Here is a 23,311-nt window from a genome sequence, read left to right on the forward strand (position 1 = left end):
TGTCACCACCAGGCCTGCCCTAAAAGAGCTCCTGAAGGAAGCACTAAACATGGAAAGGAACAACCGGTACCAGCCACTGCAAAAATGCCAAAATGTAAAGACCATCAAGGCTAGGAGGAAACTGCATCAACAAACAAGCAAAATAACCAGCTAACGTCATAATGACAGGACCAAATACACACATAACATTATTAACTTTAAATGTAAATGGGCTAAATGCTCCAATTAAAAGACACAGACTGGCAAATTGGATAAAGAGTCAAGACCCATCAGTGTGCTGTATTCAGGAAACCCATCTCACATGCAGAGACACACATAGGCTCAAAATAAAGGGATGGAGGAAGATCTACCAAGCAAATGGAAAACAAACAAAAGCAGGGGTTGCAATCCTAGTCTCTGATAAAACAGACTTTAAACCAACAAAGATCAAAGAGACAAAGAAGGCCATTACATAATGGTAAAGGGATCAATTCAACAAGAAGAGCTAACTATCCTAAATATATATGCACCCAATACAGGAGCACCCACATTCATAAAGCAAGTCCTTAGTGACCTACAAAGAGACTTAGACTCCCAACAATAATAATGGGAGACTTTAACACCCCACTGTCAACATTAGACAGATCAACGAGACAGAAAGTTAACAAGGATACCCAGGAATTGTACTCAGCTCTGCACCAAGTGGACCTAATAGAAATCTACAGAACTCTCCACCCCAAATCAACAGAATATACATTCTTTTCAGCACCACACCACACCTACTCCAAAACTGACCACATAGTTGAAAGTAAAGCACTCCTCAGCAAATGTAAAACAAGAGAAATTATAACAAACTGTCTCTCAGACCACAGTGCAATCAAACTAGAACTCAGGACTAAGAAACTCACTCAAAACCGCTCAACTACACAGAAACTGAAGAACCTGCTCCTGAATGACTACTGCGTAAATAATGAAATGAAGGCAGAAATAAAGATGTTCTTTGAAACCAATGAGAACAAAGACACAACATACCAGAATCTCTGGGACACATTCAAAGCAGTGTGTAGAGGGAAATTTATAGCACTAAATGCCCACAAGAGAAAGCAGGAAAGATCCAAAATTGACACCCTAACATCATAATTAAAAGAACGAGAAAAGCAAGAGCAAACACATTAAAAAGCTAGCAGAAGGCAAGAAATAACTAAAATCAGAACAGAACTGAAGGAAATACAGACACAAAAAACCCTTCAAAAAATCAATGAATCCAGGAGCTGGTTTTTTGAAAAGATCAACAAAATCAATAGACCGCTAGCAAGACTAATAAAGAAGAAAAGAGAGAAGAATCAAATAGATGCAATAAAAAATGATAAAGGGGATATCACCACCAATCCCACAGAAATACAAACTACCATCAGAGAATACTATAAACACCGCTATGCAAATAAACTAGAAAATCTAGAAGAAATGGATAAATTCCTTGACACATACATCCTCCCGAGACAACACCAGGAAGAACCTGAATCTCTGAATAAACCAATAACAGGCTCTGAAATTGAGGCAATAATCAATAGCTTACCAACAAAAAAAAGTCCAGGACCAGATGGATTCACAGCCGAATTCTACCAGAGGTACAAGGAGGAGCTGGTACCATTCCTTTTGAAACTATTCCAATCAACAGAAAAAGAGGGAATCCTCCCTAACTCATTCTATGAGGCCAGCATCATCCTGATACAAAAGCCTGGCAGAGACACAACCAAAAAAGAATTTTAGACCAATATCCTTGATGAACATTGATGCAAAAATCCTCAATAAAATACTGGCAAACCAAATCCAGCAGCACATCAAAAAGCTTATCCACCATGATTAAGTGGGCTTCATCCCTGGGATGCGAGGCTGGTTCAACATACACAAATCAATAAATGTAATGTAACATGTAAACAGAACCAAAGACAAAAACCACATGAATATCTCAATAGATGCAGAAAAGGCCTTTGACAAAATTCAACAACCCTTCATGCTAAAAACTCTCAATAAATTAGGTATTGATGGGACGTATCTCAAAATAATAAGAGCTATCTATGACAAACCCACAGCCAATATCATACTGAATGGGCAAAAACTGGAAGCATTCCCTTTGAAAACTGGCACAAGACAGGGATGCCCTCTGACCACTCCTATTCAACATAGTGTTGGAAGTTCTGGCCAGGGCAATTAGGCAGGAGAAGGAAATAAAGGGTATTCAATTAGGAAAAGAGGAAGTCAAATTGTCCCTGTTTGCAGATGACATGATTTTATATCTAGAAAACCCAATTGTCTCAGCCCAAAATCTTCTCAAGCTGATAAGCAACTTCAGCAAAGTCTCAGGATACAAAATCAATGTACAAAAATCACAAGCATTCTTATACACCAATAACAGACAAACAGAGAGCCAAATCATGAGTGAACTCCCATTCACAATTGCTTCAAAGAGAATAAAATACCTAGGAATCCAACTTACAAGGGATGTGAAGGACCTCTTCAAGGAGAACTACAAACCACTGCTCAGTGAAATAAAAGAGGACACAAACAAATGGAATAACATTCCATGATCATGGATAGGAAGAATCAATATCGTGAAAATGGCCATACTGCCCAAGGTAATTTATAGATTCAATGCCATCCCCATCAAGCTACCAATGACTTTCTTCACAGAATTGGAAAAAACTACTTTAAAGTTCATATGGAACCAAAAAAGAGCCCACATCGCCAAGTCAATCCTAAACCAAAAGAACAAAGTCGGAGGCATCACGCTACCTGACTTCAAACTGTACTACAAGCCTACAGTAACCAAAACAGTACGGTACTGGTACCAAAACAGAGATATAGACCAATGGAACGGAACAGAGCCCTCAGAAATAATGCTGCATATCTACAACTATCTGATCTTTGACAAACCTGACAAAAACAAGAAATGGGGAAAGGATTCCCTATTTAATAAATGGTGCTGGGAAAACTGGCTAGCCATATGTGAAAGCTGAAAACTGGATCTCTTCCTTACACCTTATATAAAAATTAATTCAAGATGGATTACCGACTTAAATGTCAGACCTAAAACCATAAAAACCCTAGAAGAAAACCTAGGCAATACCATTCAGGACATAGGCACAGGAAAGGACTTCATGTCTGAAACACCAAAAGCAATGGCAACAAAAGTCAAAATTGACAAATGGGATCTAATTAAACTAAGGAGCTTCTGCACAGCAAAAGAAACTACCAACAGAGTGAACAGGCAACCTACAGAAGGGGAGAAAATTTTTGCAACCTACTCATCTCACAAAGAGCTAATATCCAGAATCTACAATGAACTCAAACAAATTTACAAGAAAAAAACAAACAACCCCATCAAAAAGTGGGCAAAGGATATGAACAGATACTTCTCAAAAGAAGACATTTATGCAGCCAAAAAACACATGAAAAAATGCTCACCATGACTGGCCATCAGAGAAATGCAAATCAAAACCACAATGAGATACCATCTCACACCAGTTAGAATGGCGATCATTAAAAAGTCAGGAAACAACAGGTGCTAGAGAGGATGTGGAGAAATAGGAACACTTTTACACTGTTGGTGGGACTGTAAAGTAGTTCAAACCATTGTGGAAGTCAGTGTGATGATTCCTCAGGGATCTAGAACTAGAAATACCATTTGACCCAGCCATCCCATTACTGGGTATATACCCAAAGGATTATAAATCATGCTGCTATAAAGACACATGCACACGTATGTTTATAGCGGCACTATTCACAATAGCAAAGACTTGGAGCCAACCTAAATGTCTGACAATGATAGATTGGATTAAGAAAATGTGGCACATATACACCATGGAATACTATGCTGCCATAAAAAATGATGAGTTCATGTCCTTTGTAGGGACATGGATGAAACTGGAAACCATCATTCTCAGCAAACTATCTCAAGGACAAAAAACCAAACACCGCATGTTCTCACTCATAGGTGGGAATTGAACAATGAGTACACATGGACACAGGAAGGGGAACATCACACACCGGGGACTGTTGTTGGGTGGGGGGATGGGGGAGGGATAGCATTAGGAGATATACCTAATGCTAAATGACGAGTTAATGGGTGCAGCACAACAACATGGCACATGTATACATATGTAAAAAACCTGCACTTTGTGCACATGTACCCTAAAACTTAAAGTATAATAATAATAAAATTAAAAAAAAAAGAACTCTATTTGCAAAAAAAAAAAAAATACAGTAACTCAAACAAAAACACATTAGAGGATAGGGATAGAGAGGCACAATAGCATGTTTTAGTTGGTAAAGTTGAAGATAGAGCAAAAGATTCAGCAAACTTGAAGACAGGTCAACTCAGACTAACCAGTCTGAGAAACAAAAGAAGGATGAGGAAATAAAACAGCTTCAGAGAACTGTGGTACACCATCAACTATACCAAGATATGCATAATGAAAGTTCTCAAAGAAAAGGTGAAAAAGGGATAAAATTAATACTTGAAGAAATAATGGCCAAAACCCCTAGTTTCAGTGAAAAGCATTAGTATTTACATCCAAGAAGCATAATAAAGTCTAGGTAGAATTCATTTTAACAGATTTACACTTAACTGTATCATAACAAAATTATTAAAAGATGAAGTCTTGAAAGAGCAAGAAAAGCAATGCATCACAAGTGATCCTCAATAATATTAACAGTTGATTTCTCATTCAGAGACTATGGAGGCCAAGAGGAGGTGGGACAATGTATACAAAGCACTAAACAGGCCAGGCGCAGTGGCTCACGCCTGTAATCCCAGCACTTTGGGAGGCCAAGGCGGGAGGATCACTTGTGGTGAGGAGTCTGAGACCAGCCTGACCAACATAGTGAAACCCCGTCTCTACTAAAAATACAAAAATTGGCCGGGCATGGTAGTGTGAGCCTGTAATCCCAGCTACTCAGGAGGCTGAGGCAGAAGAATGGCTTGAACCTGGGAGGTGGAGTTTGCAGTGAGCCGAGATAGCACCATTGCACTCCAGCCTGGCTGACAGAGCAAGACTCCATCTCAAAAAAAAAGAAAAGCACTAAACAAAAAAGACTGTCAACCAACAATTCCACATCCAGCAAAACTACTGCTCAACAATTAACAAGAAATTAAAATATTCCCACATAAACAAAAACTGATTTGTCACTAACCAACCTGCCCTATAATACAAAGTCCTCTATCTGAAATAATATGATACATTAACTCAAATCTACACAAAGAAATCAAGAGCACTGATAAAGACAAATACATAGGAAAACATAAAAACAGTTAAATGTATTTTTGTTTGTAAATCTTTTTTTCTTTTATGTGAGTTAAAATACAACTTTGTAAAGTAGTAACTATAAATATGTATTGATGGGCATACAATGTATAAAGATATTGTGTGACAATAATAGCACAAATCTTGCAGGTGAGAAGAGAATATAGCTACATAATAGCAAAATTTGTATATGCTATGGAAATTAAGTTAGTAGTAATCTGAACTAGATTGTTATATGTTGAGATGTTAATTGTAACCCCTAGGGAAACTACTAAGAGAATAACATGAAGAACATAGAAAAAGAAATGACAAGAGAGTTAAGATGGCATTTTTGGAAAAAAATATGATTTCACAAAAGAAGGCACTAATTGAGAGATAGAGGAATAAAAATAACATAGTACCAGTAGAAAACAAAACAAGACAATTTATAAGAATAGTAGAGATGAATTCTATCTTATCAATCATTACATTAAATGTGAATGAATTGAACAAGACAGAGATGTGCAAAAAGCATTTTTAAGGAAAAACCATGATCTAACTATAACCATGATCTAACTATATGCTGTGTACGTGAGACAAACTTTAGATTCAAAGGCACACACAGGTTGAAAGTAGAAAGAGGAAAAATGATATACCTTGTCAACAGTAAACAAAAGAGAGCTGATATACTAATATCAGACAAAAATAGACTTTAAGACAATAATTGTCACTAGAGGCAAAGAAGGACATTCTTTCAATAATAAAAGGCTCAATCCTTCTAGAAGATATAGCAATATAAATTTGTATGCACCTAACAACACAACACCAAAAACTCAAAGCAAAACTAACGAGATTGAAGGAAGAAACAGACCATTCAACATTAATATTTGCAGACTTCAATATCTCACTTTCAATAATAGATACACATTTAATCTACATATTTCTAAGCACTGCTTTAGCTGAATTCCATACACATTAGCATGTTGTACTATACATCCATTCATCTCAGAGTATTTTTAAATGTCTCTTGGGATTTCTTCTTTGACACATTGATATTTAGTAATGTGTTTAATCTCCACCTATTTGTGAATTTGCCACATTTCCTTCTATTATTGATTACTAATTTCATTCCATTGTACTTGGAGAACATATACTGTATGATTTCTACACTTTAAAATTTATTGAGACTTGTTTTATGGCTTTGTATGTGATATATACAAAGCCATAGATAGTCTATCCTGGAGAATGTTCCATGTGCCCTTGAGTAAACTGTGTATTTGTTGTTATTGTTTGGGGTGTTCTATAGACATCTGTTAGGCCTATTAAGTCTGTAATTTCGTTCAAGTATTTTTTATGAAATAGAGAAGTTCATAGACAGATATAAACTACCAAAAATGATTAAAAAAGAAACAGAAAATCTGATTAGACCTACAATAAGTAAAGAGATAGAATTTGTAATCAACAAAGTTCCCACATAGGAAAGCCCAGGACCTGATGGCTTTGTTGCTGAATTCTACCAAGCTTTTAAAAAGAATGCCTAATCTTTCTCCAAAGCTTCCAGAAAAAATTGAAGTGGATAAAACACTTTCAATTCATTCTTTGATACCAATATTTTCTTGATATCAAAACCAAACAAAACATTCTGGGGAAAAAAACTGCAGACCAAAATTCTTTATGAATATAGACGCAAAACTCAACAAAATATCGGCCAACCAAATCCAGCAACATATAAAAGACTGAAAAACTGCCCCAGATTGAAGGAACTAAGGAGACACAATGACTAAACATAATGGGGAATTATGGATTGGATCTTAGAACAGAAAGATAACTTAATTTAAAAACTGGTAAAGTTAGGCTGGGCGCGGTGGCTCATGCCTGTAATACCAGCACTTAGGGAGGCCGAGGTAGGCAGATCACAAGGTCAGGAGTTTGAGACCATCCTGGCTAACATGGTGAAACTCCATATCTACTAAAAGTAAAAAAAAAAAAAAAAAATTAGCCAGGCATGGTGGCAGGTGCCTGTAGTCCCAGCTACTCGGGAAGCTGAGGCAGGAGAATTGCTTGAACCCAGGAGGTGGAGGTTGCAGTGAGCTGAGATTGCACCACTGCACTCCAGCCTGGGCAAAAGGGCAAGACTCCGCCTCAAATAAATAAATAAATAAATAAATAAATAAATAAATAATAAATAAATAAAAACTGGTAAAGTGTGGATGAAGTCTCTAGTTAACAGCATAGTACCAATGTTAGTATCATTTTGACAATTTTACTGTGCTTGTGAAGGCTGCTATCATTAGGGAAAGCTAGGAAAACTAGGGAAAGGTAGATAGGAACTCTACCACCTATAGTATGTCTAAAATTATTTCAAAATAAAAATTTTTTAAAGAAAAACTCTCTCTAATCCAAATGTTCATCAGAAGTAGAAGAGATAAATAAATTACTGTGGTTACATTTTGATAAAAGAGAGAGGGTGTAAAGATATGGAGAGGATACCAGGGTAGTTTCTGGGATGCTGTCCATGTTCTATTTCTTGTCTTGCATTGTGGTTGCACAGTTTTCAGTTATTCGCTTTGTGAGAGTTCATCAAGATGTAATTCAATTGCACTGTTACGTTTCAGACATAGCACTGGCTTTTAAATTCAAATGGTTCTATTAAAATCAAAATTAATGAGTCAGGTTTAAATCTAAGGCCAACGGCATTAACTGTATCAGAGAATGCTCTAGTGCCTAAACGAAAATGTTACTACAACGTAGCATTTGATTAATGAAAACATAGCCCCCATAAAGGGGTAAATCTCAAAAACATCCACTAGAGACCAATAGTTTGTGCTGTTTCTCTTGAGTTTTCTACAGAGACAGTCATAAATCTATAAATAACAACATTTTCTTTTCTAAAGTTAAATTTTGTTTTACCAGTTTTATTTAATTTGTTCTAGTTCCAAAACACCATTAAATAATTTGGAAAGCATAGGTATTTCAATGGCTTCAGCTCTACATAACAGAAACCCCAAATAAATAGGGCTTAAATAAATCAGATTAATTATTTCACTTCAGATAACCCTAAAATAGAGTTATTTCGGGGCTGGTAAATGTATCTCCACAACATTATTAAATGATCCAGATTCTCTCCATCTTTTCTCTCTGCTATCCTCAGAAGGTTGCTCACTCCTCATGGTTGCAAGAAGGCTGCTGTACCTGCAGCTTCTGTATTCTCAGTGAAAACATAATAAAACCATAACACATTGACTTTCATGCATCATTTATGCCCGTTTTCCCAGAAGCCCCACAACAGACATCTCACATTTTATTTTTCTAATTTTATTGTACATTCTTTTCTAAGGCAACCTTCGCTTAGGCAAACAGAACATTACCAGGACTGGCTTCGACTTGTCAAGATGCATCCTCTGGGACTAAAGAGGGGCCCAGCATCCAATGGAACACATAGACACACAGTGCCTGAATCATATTGAGGTTCTATTAGCAGAAGGAAGAGGAAATAATTCTTAAGTAGGAATTCACCAGCTGTTAGAAACAGCGTCATTTTATTATTCTTTACTGTAATAATACATTATTTACAGGGGATTCAGTGTTCCCTGTGAAGAATGATGCAGCTGTTGGTTGAGATACTCTTTATAATATTAAGGGAGTATCATTCTATTTCTAGTATTCTGAGAATTTGTATTGGCAACAATATGTATGTAGTACTTAGTCAAATCCTTTGTTTTGTGTTGGTTTCTGTTTCTGTCTTTGGTTTTTTACTTTGGTGGGGGTAGAGTTGGCCATTGGCCTAGACAATAACCTTTAGCTTATTGACATGCTTTGTTTCATTAAGAAATTTTCTAATGTCTAATGTTGCATCCTCTTTATTTTCTCAGAATATACCTTCTTCGGGCATGGGAATATTTGGTTTTTAATATAATTCCAGATTTGACCTCAAATTTTTCTTCAAACAAGGATCTGAATTAACATACACGTTTACAAAACAGGTTTTATTAATGGCTTTATGTAATGGTTATAATAATCATAAAGTGATTTTAAAGCTATTTATGTTTCATTTATTCAATGAAATTTTAAAAAAATTCTTTTCTGTATCATTAGGTCCCAGAATCTTTATAGATCTTGGTTCTTGGTTTATTTTAATTTTTGTAATTTAGGAAAAAAGATCAGTTTTATAAATTTTTTTCTAGAAAATCATGAAATGATAAAAACATAAAGTAGCTTAAAGGTATACAAAGTATTATCTTGTATTTTTTCTCTCTGTAGTTATTCATTTCTAATTTTGAGTATTTACATTACATTATCTTTAGACTTCCCAAAGGGTTTTCTGTTTTATTAAAATTTTAAAAGAACCAGCTCTTGGATATATTTGCTAAATCATTAAATCATTAACTATCAGCTTTTGTTTTTGATATGTTTTTCTTCTTATTTTTGAGTTGCTTTGTTGTGCATACTTAATTTCTATGATAGAATATTTTATTTACATACTTACATTATTCTAGCATAATGTTAGCACTCGAGGATCTGAAGTAGTGTGTAAAAAGATCTTTGGCCACCTGTTATAGTGATATTTTTAATCACAGTATGATTACTTCTAAAATACTCTAGAATTAAATATGTTATTACCTTATTGCTCTTTATTAATTATAAAATTTCAAGCAATACAGAAATATGAAATAAAAAATAAACTTTCTACTGTACCTTACCTCAAACCAGCTTTCTTTCCAATGCTACCAACTGCTAACAGTCCCTTTATTGTTTTAAATATTTTTTTACTTACATTAATATGCATTACATTTTTTAAATGCTGTAAATGTTCATTCTTATGTTCATATCATTGCCAGCATGTACAAATATTTCTTTATAATAGATTTCAGGGAATGGGTTTCCTGGGTCAAGTTGTATGTACATGTTTAATTTTGATAACTATTCTCAAATTGCTCTCCACAAAAGGCTGTGTTAGTCCACACAACAATAGTATGTGTCCATGCCCATTTTCCTACATCCTGGCCAACCTTGATATATAACCAACATTTTAATTTATAATTTGATCACCATGGTTTTTAGCAGATAAGTTTTAATTTCTAAAAGCTTGTATTTTTTATGTTGTTGGTAGTGGTTGTTTAATCTCTTACTATTCTTTCAAAATTTTCTTGCAACAATTCAATACAAGAATGTAAATGGTAAAAATTATGTTTTTCAAAATGTGTTGAGATTTCTTCTGCAGCTTCTATTGGTAAAATGCCATGAGTGCCTAAAAGAAGCATTTTCTCTAAAAAATAAACACTTTAAAATCTTTTCAACATTAATGTATTATTATTATATTGTTTGGGTTATCATACCTGTATTTTGTATCTAGCTACTATTCTTTCAAAACTAAAAAGTTGTTTAAGACTTTAATTACTATGCAAATTTATTATAGCTTTCATTTACTTAAAATCTCTGTATATTCCTGAAGTTAAATTATAGAATCCTAATCTGACCAAGAAAATACATCAACATTCTTAGAGTTCACATATAAATGATAGTGTATATATTTCTAAGCAAATGACAAGTCCAGGCTTCTGGCTTCCTCCCTTCAACCCAGATTTGGAGATGCCAATGGCAACTAATAGAAAGTATTAGTGAAAATCCTAGGGAGTGACAGAGTGAATCAGTCCCAGTATGTGGGAAACAGCTTTCAACAGGAGAGCTCCAGGGCGGGCGTGCATTTGTGGCCTGGCCTAGAGAGAGTTTTCTAGTAGTGCCCTTTTCTTTAATTGCTTGTACCTTTGCTCCATTGGGCAGCCAATAGCAATAAATATTTCAATGATCCAGAACATTTTTCTGCATTCCCTGAACTAAGCAATAACCTTAAAATGTGTCTACTCTTGGATTAAAACACAACTTGGATCAGAAGCCCTGGGGAATTTTCTCAGCAGCCAAGAGATGCCTGGGGAGGTAAAGAGGCATGGATTACAAGGGAGAGGCTCCCTGTTCTGAAGCACTCCTCCCTCCAGTCTCACTGGAGTAATTGCAAGCTTAAAGCCCAGGCTTTCATCAATTCCCATAAAGTTGACAAAACTAGTCAATACAGCTAATGATGACAGAGGATAAAATTTCAGTTACTGTGAAATCAATAGTTTTGAGGACTTAAAATGAAAGCAAAATAACAAATTGAGGGAGATCTACAAAAGGAGATAGCCCTAACGAAAAAGAAAGAAGAATTTAAAATACTCATAGATGGAAGAGGATATTTGGTACACGAGGTAGGAAAAAGCAGCTATGAAGAAAAATCAATTGCAGGTATTTGGGATAAGAGATATAGTTGTTGAATAATCTCAATGGATAGATACATTTGGTGAGCAAGGGGTTAGGTCAAAGTATATTCCTAGAAGGCATCAGGAAAGGATAAGTGAGAAAGGAAAGGTAACAAACAGGGAAGAGGACAGGAGACATTCAACATCTACCCAATAGGAGTCCCAGGAAAAAATGTAAACAGAGAGGGGGAATAATTTGAGAATATAATGGCAATTTTACAAATAGTAAATGTTGCCATAATATTTTGGAATAACAGGGCTCAGAGAGTGTCACATAGGGTAGAAAAGTACCCTAGATGCATTTTAGTAAAATTTAAGAACACCATAGACAAAGAAAAACAACAATAGATTCTAGAGAGAAAAATCAGATTCTCTCTAAGGAGTAAACATTGGATTGGCATTAAATAGCTTAACAGCAACCCTGGCTTAAGAAGATAATCGAATAGTATTTTGAAAGGGCCGAAGAAATTAAAGTTTAATAAAGAATTTCATATATACCTCAATTTCCACTTAAGATAAAAGACGATTAAAGATATTCTCAGGCTAAAGGGTCTCAAATAGTATTACAACATGATCTACTTTGAAAGAATTTTTAGATGTTGTATCTCAGGATGAAGAAAAACAAATGCAGAAGGCAATAAGATATAGAGGAAAGACAGATGGATGAACTTGTCAAAATAGGCAAAAATTTGTAAGAATTTAATCCATATAATCTGGTATTAAAACTCTAGAAAGTACTTACTTGACTGGAAACTGGAGGCAGTATTCATGGCACCAATGGAAGATGAGAACATGCCAGCTAAATGGCTTGCTGGCCCAGGGCAATATATAGATGTATCTGAGCTTTAGTTTTGTTTGTTTGTTTGTTTTCCTGAGCTTTAGTTTTGCTAAATAATAAATAAGCATGCATTTGAGTGTTAATAAATTAGAGGTAACCACCAGGAGAATAAAAATAGAATGCAGAACTTTTACACTAGAAAAATTTCCTCTACCCACTGGAAAATAGAGAATGTATAGTAAGAAAGCATAAGAAATAGAAAACAAAGTAAAATGGTAGGAATAAGTCCTAGTGTAGCAATAATCGCAACAATAACAAAATAGTTTATTTATGGCCCACTATATTCTAGAAATGAATTAGGGTGGCTTTCAAAGAAATACTGTATCAGCAAGAAACTAAATCTAAAATACAAGAGACAGTAAAGCTATGATAGGAAGATTAAGTCATAGGTAAGGTATATACACCTAATGCTGGCTTCAAATAATGCCTCAAATACCAAAAGATTGATAATGGATACCTATTAGAGCAAGTTTAGAAATTCAAATACATGATATTGCTACTTTCTTTTGAGATGTCACATCTCAGAATCTTGTCTAATTGATCTGTGACTCCAACGTCACCTGTCACTCTCCTGTCAGCCACTGAGAATTGTACAGTATTAACTTCACACACTAACACCAAAATATTAGTCAGGATAGTTACCTAATTAAAAACATTTTCCCTCTGTTCCCTTTAAACTGATTAAAAACTGTCTCTCTGAAATACCAATATTGTTCTACAGCTTTTGTTATAATGGCATTTTCCTTTAAAGACATATATTCTTGTATAGCACCAAAGAAGAGAATTTCCCATTTCTAAAAGATTATTTCATATTTTCCTTAATCATATATGCATGAGATAGTATCACAGCAAAACCTCATTCAATACATGTATTTTAACAAGTTAGACCACCAGTTATACACTCTAATTGTATGACTAAACAAGCCATTTTCTGAACTTATTATTCCCTCATTAATAGAGAGAGGTTAGGATAAATGATCTTTAAAATATCCCACACTTTTCATATTTTATATTTCCCTTCCATATTGACTTTGTTATAATTCATTCATGGAATAATTTACTTTAACATATATTACTTTTTATTTCTATGAAGTCGTATTTATTGTAGAAACAAAGAGCTGAGGTGAGAAGAAATAATCACCCATAAATCTGATCATCTTTGTCTATTAACATTGTTTTATTTATATAGCACTTTGCTTATTATTTTATATCAGCGACATCATATTTACATGAAATCTTATGTTGTATTTCTATTGTTTAATAATACAAAATTAGAATTTACATGTAACTAAATTTGCTACCATATTTACACAGTTATAAATGTTGCAATGCATGTTGCTGTCTATACCCATGTGTGTTTGGGAAGTTTTTTCTTAATATAATTTCTATGTCAATGATACAAATAATGTTCTATTTAGGTAACATTTCTCGAGGGCTTACTAATGTATCAGACATTGTTCTAAGTGTTTCACAGATATTAACTCATTTATCCTCACATCAACTTGTTGAGCAAGGTCTTATTTTTATCCATCCTCTCTAGAGGCAGAATTTGAGGCACATAGGAGAGGTTAAATACTTTCCTCATGGCCAGATAGTAAGCAGCAGAATTAGAGTTCAAATCCAGGTTCTGAAGATGGAAACATGAGAGGAGCACCTCTGAACAAATATACTCATACCCTTAAGACTGAGTTTTAGTACCAGTTTTTTCAAGATGATGCACAGAACATGCTATGATATCAATTTTCTATTAAAATGGTAGTGTGGCACCTTTATGGCATAGAAAGAACTGGACTACTTCAGTGTCTACATGACTTCTTTAGGTAAAAGGGCGCACATCAGTGTCTAAAGGTCTTTTTTTTTTGAGACAGAGTATTGCTCTGTCACCAGGCTGGAGTGCAGTGGCACAATCTCTGCTCACTGCAACCTCCGACTCCCTGGTTCAAGTGACTCTCCTGCCTCAGCCTGCCAAGTAGCTGGGATTACAGGCACATGCCACCATGCCCAGCTAATTTTTGTATTTTTAGTAGAGACGGGGTTTCACCATATTGGCCAGGATGGTCTCGATCTCCTGACCTCATGATCTGCCTGCCTCGGCCTCCCAAAGTGCTGGGATTATGGGCATGAGCCACCATGCCTAGCCTAAAGGTATTCTTTAGATAAAAGGTCACACGTGGAGCATTTCCTTTTAGAAGCAGTTTTCCCAAGTCTATGAGTTATCTAAAGGTACTGAAGGAGTCCAAAATTCATATGCCTACAACCCTGTGTGATGGATAAGAAAACTTATAAGGATCACAAGAAACACTCTAGATCTCAATGCACACATTAGTTCTGTAGCAAATATAAATTTGTAAAAGATGTATTTGTTTATGTTTTTGGCTTTCTTTGTTAATATGTTATTTTTAATAACCTGAAATCACAAGTTATTTAAATATAAACTACTCTCCTAAAGAATTGAACATTAACTGCTATGGAAAGTATTCCTGGCTTCCTCCTTAATTCCCATGTGCATGAGTGACATGGCCAGTGGGTAGGCATGGGAAGCACTGAAGTTCACATGGACCTAGTAGCACCAAATGCAGCTCAGGTTCACTTTAGCAAAACTCCCTAGTATCATTTTTATAAGTAGGTTTATTATTTAATTAGTCAAGTTTTCATCCACATTGCCTATTTTTCTACTGCGCTCTGCCAAAAACACTCTTTGGCAGATGGTAAAATAATGAAATTGTTGGCTCCAAAATCCAAAATCTTGGAGATAATTAGAAGATTTGATACAGGTAACATTTATTAGTCATGAAGAGCTTGACAGCATGGAGAATTTTTCAACCCACACAATTTCTAAAGGGAGAAAAAAAATCTTTTTTTAATAATACTGATCAAATTATGTTTCTGTGACAAGAAAGGAGAAATACATTTTATAAGGCCTAGCTGGACAGCTTCTTCATTCAAGCATAGCCTACACAGAGAAGGAAGGAAAGTCTTTAAAAAAGTCTTTTCCACAACGGCAAATACGAACAATGTTTGAAAATTTCTCTCTGTTCTAGTTAAATCAGTTGGAACTTCACCAGTTAGAAATGAATACCAAGAATCATCTTGGAAATCATTTAAAGTAGCTATGAGTGAACAAAAATGTCTTCAAATTAACAACTTTCCTCCTTTCTTAGCATAAGCATCACTCTTGGGCTGGGAAGGAACTCCTGTGCAGGGTCATTTGCTGGTTATAGCAGCTTACGGTTTTAAGATGTAACCATTTTAGCTATTTAAAGCAAGAAGGCAGGAAGGCAGGCAGAAAGAAAGAGGCTTATTTTTTTTTTCTGTTTTTCCAGTTGAAATATAATGATCTTTAAAAGAGAGAATTTCAAAAGAGAATGGCTGGCTCTATAGATGTTATCAAAGATTGGGATTAATTCTTTTGTATTATGAAAATGGAATGATAAACTGGCAAAGAATGAAATACAGCTATAAGGACTAGGAAAAAATATTTTTCAAAGAAGATTTGTTAACCAGACACTTCTGGAAACAGGGACTGTTAAACTCTAAAAACAGGCCTTATTGTAGATATCTGATACAATTTAAAAATAACAATAATAGATAGTTTTCAAGTAAACATGACCTGGAAGGTGGTGAGAAACAATTCATCAGGAGCATAAATCATGATAGAATATGATCATCATAATAGCTGACGTTTATCAGGCAGGTCATATGTGCAGACACTGTTCAAAGTGCTTTATTCACATGAACTCATTGATTACCTACAACGTTTCAGTGAAGTAGTTTTCAAGGCTTTGGTAGATTAGATTGCTTGACTAAGGTTGCAGAACTGTTAACAATATAACTGGAAACTGAACTCAGGAAATATAATTTCAGAATCCATGGTTTTAACCTCTATGCAATATGACCTTATCCTAATACAAGGATGATAAGGTAAATTTAAAATTTATCTCTAGGCTCTTGGCACAATCTTTTATGTAGAGGTGAAACCATTATGAAGGTATATATGTTCTGTAATAATGAAAGGGTATGCCTCGTTCAAAGGAAATTGATCTTAGAGCAAGATGTAACAGTATTTCATGTAAAGAAGGTGTACATGATTTGACCAAAAGAAGAAAGGAAGGAAAGGAATAAAATATCTATGGTCCTAACATAGAAGAAATACACAAACATGCTAAAGGGCACTTTTGAAGGCAAGAAAAAATAATAATTTTATTGTTAAGAATATTGTAGGCTTTCAGATAATATTCCAGATATCTCAGATGATAGCCATGGTTAACATTTTGGTACTTTGTATGTATGTATGTGTGTATAAACAAATATACATATATGAATTCAATAAATATTTATTGAGTTCCTACTGCCAGATACTGTTGGGTTTTCTGTGTTTAGAGTGAAGAACAAGCCTGCTCTCACACTTATGGGAGAAACAGAAAATTGTAAAAATATTAGTTACTAATAACATATAAAGAAAAATTTATCGTGATGAAAGAAGGAATCAATGAGCTATTTTATTTGAATGCTGAGGAAAGGTCTTGTTGAACTCAAATAAAGGGAGGGAGGTGGGTGAGAAAGAGGTAAGCAGGAGGAGGAGGTGGGGGGGGCAGTGGGGGCCAATGATGGCCTGGAAAGAAAATTCTAAGCAGAAGCAGCAGCAGGGTAAAAAAAACTGGTGAAAGAACATACTCTGGTTGTTTAAGAATAGCAAGAAAGTCAGTGGAGCTGGAGAGGTTTCAGCAAGAGGTGAGGAAATATCGAAAAATGAAATCAAAGAAACAGGCCCAACCTTGTCATGTTTCTCAGTTTGGGCTTCTTGCTAAAGAGTGTGGGATGCTATTGTAAGATTTTGAGCAGGAGAGTGAAATGATTTGATTTCCACCTTAGAAATCTCATCCACATCACTATGCAAAAGAGCAAAATCAGGATAACCAGTTAGGAGGCTGTGGGAATATTTTAGACATGAGGTGATAGTATGAAGTCTGATATGCCAACTGGACTTCTAAGTGAAAAATATCTTGTAGACTGTTGGAAAAACTGGTCAAAACTCAAAGGAGAGGCAGGACAGAAGATATACATTTGTGATGCCTCAATATGTAGATAATATTTAAATCATGAGTCCCATAGAAATGAACATAGGTTAAAAAAATGAAGAAAAAAAGAAATGTGAGGACCAATACCTGGAAAATTCCAAAACTTACAAGTTAGAGAATGGAAGAAAGAGCAAGGAAAACTGAGAAGTAGTATCTTGTGAGGTAGAAGAAGAATCCAGAAGCCACAGTGTCCTGAAAATCATGAGAATGAAGTGTTTTATGAAAAAGGGAATTATCAATGCATTTGACTATAGATAGACAGAGATAGAGATTGAGCTATAAATATGTTTGAGCTTTTTAAAACTGGAAATATAGTGAATATTTGTTCATATTTTAAGCATATTTTAATTTCTGTATAACATTCAAATCAGAAGCCATTTTAAGAAAGACTATAAGATGATAAGATACAGGTCTAGAAAAATGCTTTTTTGGTAAGCTACTTTGATTCCCCAAGTAAAAGTCATTAGATAAGGCTCTGTTATGCTGTTATGAATGCAATAATCAGTATGAACCACATCATAAGAGAGAAAAGAATGAGTGATTCCTCTTAGAATCAGTGTTTTTGGGGGTAATAGATTTTACAGTTACTCAAAATTAAACAATTTAAGTAAATTACCAGTGATTCTGGGAGACTTGGAGAGCCAGGCTGACTAAGGCTAAGAGGAGAGAAGAGGAAAAAAAGTGAATCCCTCCATCCTGGCTAACTCAGTGAAACTCTGTCTCTACTAAAAATACAAAAAATTAGCCGGGCGTGGTAGTGGGTGCCTGTAGTCCCAGCTACTCAGGAGGCTGAGGCAGAATGGCGTGAACCCAGGATGAGGAGCTTGCAGTGAGCCGAGATTGTACCACTGCCCTCCAGCCTGGGCGACAGAGCAAGACTCTGTCTCAAAAAAAAAAAAAAAAAAAAAAAAAAAAAGTGAGTCTCCTCTTTTTTCAAAGGCTTGGATTGATAGATGCTCATGTTTTGCCCAAAAGAGGCTTCTACTTGTTGAGCTAGCTATAAGAAGGTGAAGAGTGTGGGGGAAAGAAATATGCCTACTGTGTTAACCCCCATGTGTCAAGCCTGTCCAAAATCTGCAGCCATAACTTCCATTATATCTCATTGGCCAGAACTTAGTCATGTGGCCGTCACTGTCTGAAAGTTAAAGGGGTTAGTTTTTGTTTATTTGTTTGTTTGTCTTTAAACTGAGAATACTGTTGCACTCAGTGAAACTAGTATTCTATAGTAGGGAAAGACAGGATAATAACTAATGTGTGAATAAATATAAGTCTCTGGATAGGAACCTCAAGATACACTTATGCTTTTTTCAGTCCTCATTTCTCATCATATGTCTTCCTCCAACTATAATACAATTCTATATTTGTATTTAATTTATTGTGCTTTATTGTCTAGGTCTTTACTCATACTAAATTCACTCTGCTAAGAACACTTTTCTCCTTTCCCTTTCATATGGCTTAATTCTTCTGATTTTTCCACTCTCAGCTTAAATGTTACTTCCTCAAATCTGCATTGCCTTTGTTGTCCTCATCGGCATTAGCATCGTGAATATTATTATTATTAGTTTTGCTAAACACTGAGGACAGATCGCTTCTGTCTATTAACCATTGGCTAGTAGTTTATCATTGAATACCTCGCTTAGTCTACACTCTCAAGGAAGAAGAAGGCAGAGCCCAATGCAGATGGCTAAATTCCAGCTCATGTTTTCCTCTTTTGAGGCTCCTATCTGGAAGGTATAGCGTCCATCCTTTACCTAATTATGGACCATTGTTTCTTCTCCATTTGTTTTGGTTTCTTTTAGAGAGGCAACTATTATACATAGATTGAATCTTCATTCTCTGACCAATGCTAATGAGAGTGCGGTTTAGGTTCCTCAGTGATCATGTTGTACAGCTGCTCTGAGCCTTGCCATTGTTTGCTTCTGAAAATGCAATCACTTGAATTCTTATCAGATCTTAGTTACAAGGTAGCAAACAAACCGACTGCTCTGCTCATGCTGAAAGAATTCAGGAGGTCTTTGTGTAGAATCTGATTTATAATCCTTATAAAATAAAGTACCATTCCAGAGTTACTAGTGCCATTGCTCAAGTCTTGCTGCTCACCAGTGTGAAATTAGGACTTCAGGAAGGTGGCTAACAAGAGATACCTGGAGTTTGTTGCCCCAATAAGAAAGGACCAAGACAATGAATAAAGAGCTAAGATTTGACTGGAGTATTGAAGGGAGAGCACTGGAGTGCATTGGAGGGGTGGAGACACACCAATGATGATTGGGAGTCCAGAAAAGCAGCAAGGAGGCACCAGGCCTCTTCTGGCCCCCTGGCTCAGATCAGATCTGACAGGAGTCAGGAAGGATTTTTTTGTGTGTGGGAAAAAAAAATGCCAGCCCCAATTGCCACCACAAACACTTATGGTCCTTCTACAGGAGAATCCCTAGTCCTCACAAGCCCTGAATCCAGTTTGGAGAGCTTCTGGGAATTTGTGCAGATGCATTGCCTCAGACTAGGAGCATGAGGTATGCATTCTGCACTCCCCACCTACCTGCTGGGAGCCCAGCTGCTGCAGCATGACACCATCTTGAGAACAGAGCCACCTCTGGAGTTCACCCTGCTCTGGGGGCCAGAAGCCACTGCACCCTCTCCAGCACTGGGACTCCAACTTTATTGTATCAAGCCCACATGGGTGGCTGAATGCCACAACCCCAGCTGCAAGGAACTAGGCTGAGGATCACCTATGACTTTGTTCCTGTACAGCAGGGATATCAACCCCTGCTGCTACACTTTCAGGCAGAGAAACCATCTGTCAGTTCACCACAGATTGAATCTACCCTTGAGCTGGCCAAACTGCTGCATGCCCTCCACAGGAGAGGCCCTGAGCCTCTGAGCAGCTGATACACCCCCAGGGTGGTGGAGTGGTTGCCCACCCATGCTCGAGACTAAGAAAGAGCCCCACATCCTTCCCCTTATTCCTGCAAACATGTCCCTAGCTGGCCCAATGGTCCTGGGACCCCAATAAGGACCTGAGAAATAGTCCCACAGGCCATCCCTGGAAGGCATTCCCCCAGGCTGGCCAGGAGCTGTTAGCTCGTGGTCCAAACCTGAGAAATAGCCTCATGGGCCACCTTTGCTGGTTATGTGCCAAACCAACTAAGCAGCCTTCCACCCACATCTTGGGCGTGAGAAACGGCTCTGCAGGTTGCCTCTGGCAGACACACCCCCAGGCCAGCTGAGTAGCTGTCTGCCTACATCCCAGGCCTGAGAAACAGCCCTGTGGGCCACCCCAGCAGAAACACCCTCACACCAGCCATGCAGCCATGTCACAGGCCTGAGAAACAATTCTGCAGGTTTCCATTGGCAGACATGCCCCCAGGCCAGCTGAGCAGCTGTGCACCTGCATACCAAGCCTGAGAAATAGTCCCACGGGTTACCCTTGATGGGCATGCCCCTAAACCAGTCGAACAGCCTTGCACCCACATTCCAAATCTGAGAAATAGCATCATATGCCCACTACCCCACCCAGCAGACACATCCCCAAGCCAACCATGCAGCCTTGAGCCTATATCCCAGGCCTAAGAAGCAGCCCTGTGGGCCACCCCAGCAGACATGCACCCAGGCCAGCCAAGAAGTTGTGAAATTGAAAACTTTTCAAGTCTCAGAGAGAGACGGACATCTGGGTCTGGGAAGCTCAAAGAATCCCACATGGATTCAACCCAAACAGATCCTCTTCAAGACACATTATAGTCAAATTGTTGAAAGGCAAAGAAAGAATTCTAAAAGCTTCAGGAGAGAAGTGTCAAGTCACATATAAGGAAATCTCCATCAGACTAGCAATGAATTTTTCAGCAGAAACCTTACAGGCCTGGAGAAAATGGGATGATATATTGAAAATACTGAAAGAAAAATATGCCATCCAAGAATAGTATACACAGCCAAGCTAACCTTAGGAAATGAAGGAGAAATGAAATCTTTCACAGACAAGCTATACCTAAGTGAATTCATCAGCACTATATCAGCCTTACAGGAAATCCTCAAGAGGATTGGATGTAAAAAGATGATAACCACCATTACGAGAACATGTGGAACTATAAAACTTACTGGTAGAGCTGATAAAGGAGAAAGAGAAAGAAATCAAACCTTATCACTACAGAATACCCCACCACAAAAATAAACAATAAGAGAGAAAGGAAAGAAGAAAGAATATACAAAACAACTGGAAATCAATTTTTAAAATGACAGGAGTAAGTCCTGACCTAATGAGAGGTGACAACGTGCCAGCAGCCCTCGCTTGCTCTCAGTGCCTCCTCGGCCTCGGCATCTGCTCTGGCCATGCTTGAGGAGCCCTTCAGCCCGCCACTGCACTGTGGGGGCCCCTCTCTGGGGCTGGCCGAGGCCAGAACCGGCTCCCTCTGCTCACGGGGAGGTGTGGAGGGAGAGGCGTGGGTGGGAGCATGCAGCCCTCATGGGCCGGTGGGGGTTCCAGGTGGGCGCAGGCTCAGTGGGCCTCACACTTGGCACAGCTGGCCGGCGCCTGCTGGGCTTGATCAGGGGACAAACTCCCTCCAGGCTGCTGGAGTGCCCAGGCTAGGTGCCACAAAGTCCCGTGGTGAGTGCCAGTGAGAAGTGAAGCTGGCTGGGCTTCTGGGACGAGTGGGGACTTGGAGAACTTTTCTGTCTAGCTAAAGGATTGTAAACGCACCAATCAGCACTCTGTGTCTAGCTAAAGGTTTGTAAATGCACCAATCAGCGCTCTGTGTCCAGCTAATCTAGCGGGGACTTGGAGAACTTTTGTGTCTAGCTAAAGGATTGTAAACGCACCAATCAGCACTCTGTGTCTAGCTAAAGGTTTGTAAATGCACCAATCAGCACCCTGTCAAAATGGACCAATCAGATCTCTGTAAAATGGACCAATCAGTAGGATGTGGGTGCAGCCAGATAATGGCATAAAAGCAGGCCACCCGAGCCAGCAGCGGCAACCCTCTTGGGTCCCCTTCCATGCTGTGGAAGCTTCGCTCTTTCGCTTTTCACAATAAATCTTGCTGCTGCTCACTCTTTGGGTCCACACCACCTTTATGAGCTATAACACTCACTGCGAAGGTCTGTAACTTCACTCCTGAAGCCAGCGAGACCACGAACCCACTGGGAGGAATGAGCAACTCCAGATGCACTGCCTTTAAGAGCTGTAACACTCACTGCAAAGGTCTGCAGCTTCACTCCTGAAGTCAGTGAGACCACGAACCCACCAGAAGGAAGAAACTCTGGACACATCTGAACATCTAAAGGAACAAACTCCGGAACAAACTCCAGACACACCATCTTTAAGAACTGTAACACTCACCACGAGGGTTTGCGGCTTCATTCTTGAAGTCAGCGAGACCAAGAACCCACCAATTCCGGACACATTTTGGCAACCATGAAGGGACTTTTAATTGCCATGCAGTGAGACTTTCACCTATCACCAAGCGGTGAGTACCACTGGACCGCTTTCACTTGCTATTCTGTCCTGTTTTTCCTTACAATTCAGGGGCTAAATACTGGGCACCTGTAGGCCAGTTAAAAGCGACTAGTGTGGCCGCCGGACTAAAGACACGGATATCAGGCTTTCTGGGAAAGGGCTCTCTAACGACCCCCAACTCTTCGGAGTTGGGAGCGTTGGTTTGCCTGGAACCAGCTTCTGCTTTTTCTGTACTCTGGGCTGAGCCAAGGGTTGACAGAGAGGAAAGCCATTGAGTTCTGGGGTCCCGACAACAAGTTGGTTGACCCTGCGGCCATGAGTGGAACTCTCAAAGGCATGTTGCCCAAGCGAGACTTGCCCATCTAGCCTATCTATGCTGACCCTTGCCTCCTGGG

The sequence above is a fragment of the Homo sapiens genome, chromosome 6, assembly GCF_000001405.40.
Source record: "Homo sapiens chromosome 6, GRCh38.p14 Primary Assembly".
Classification (NCBI taxonomy): domain Eukaryota; kingdom Metazoa; phylum Chordata; class Mammalia; order Primates; family Hominidae; genus Homo; species Homo sapiens.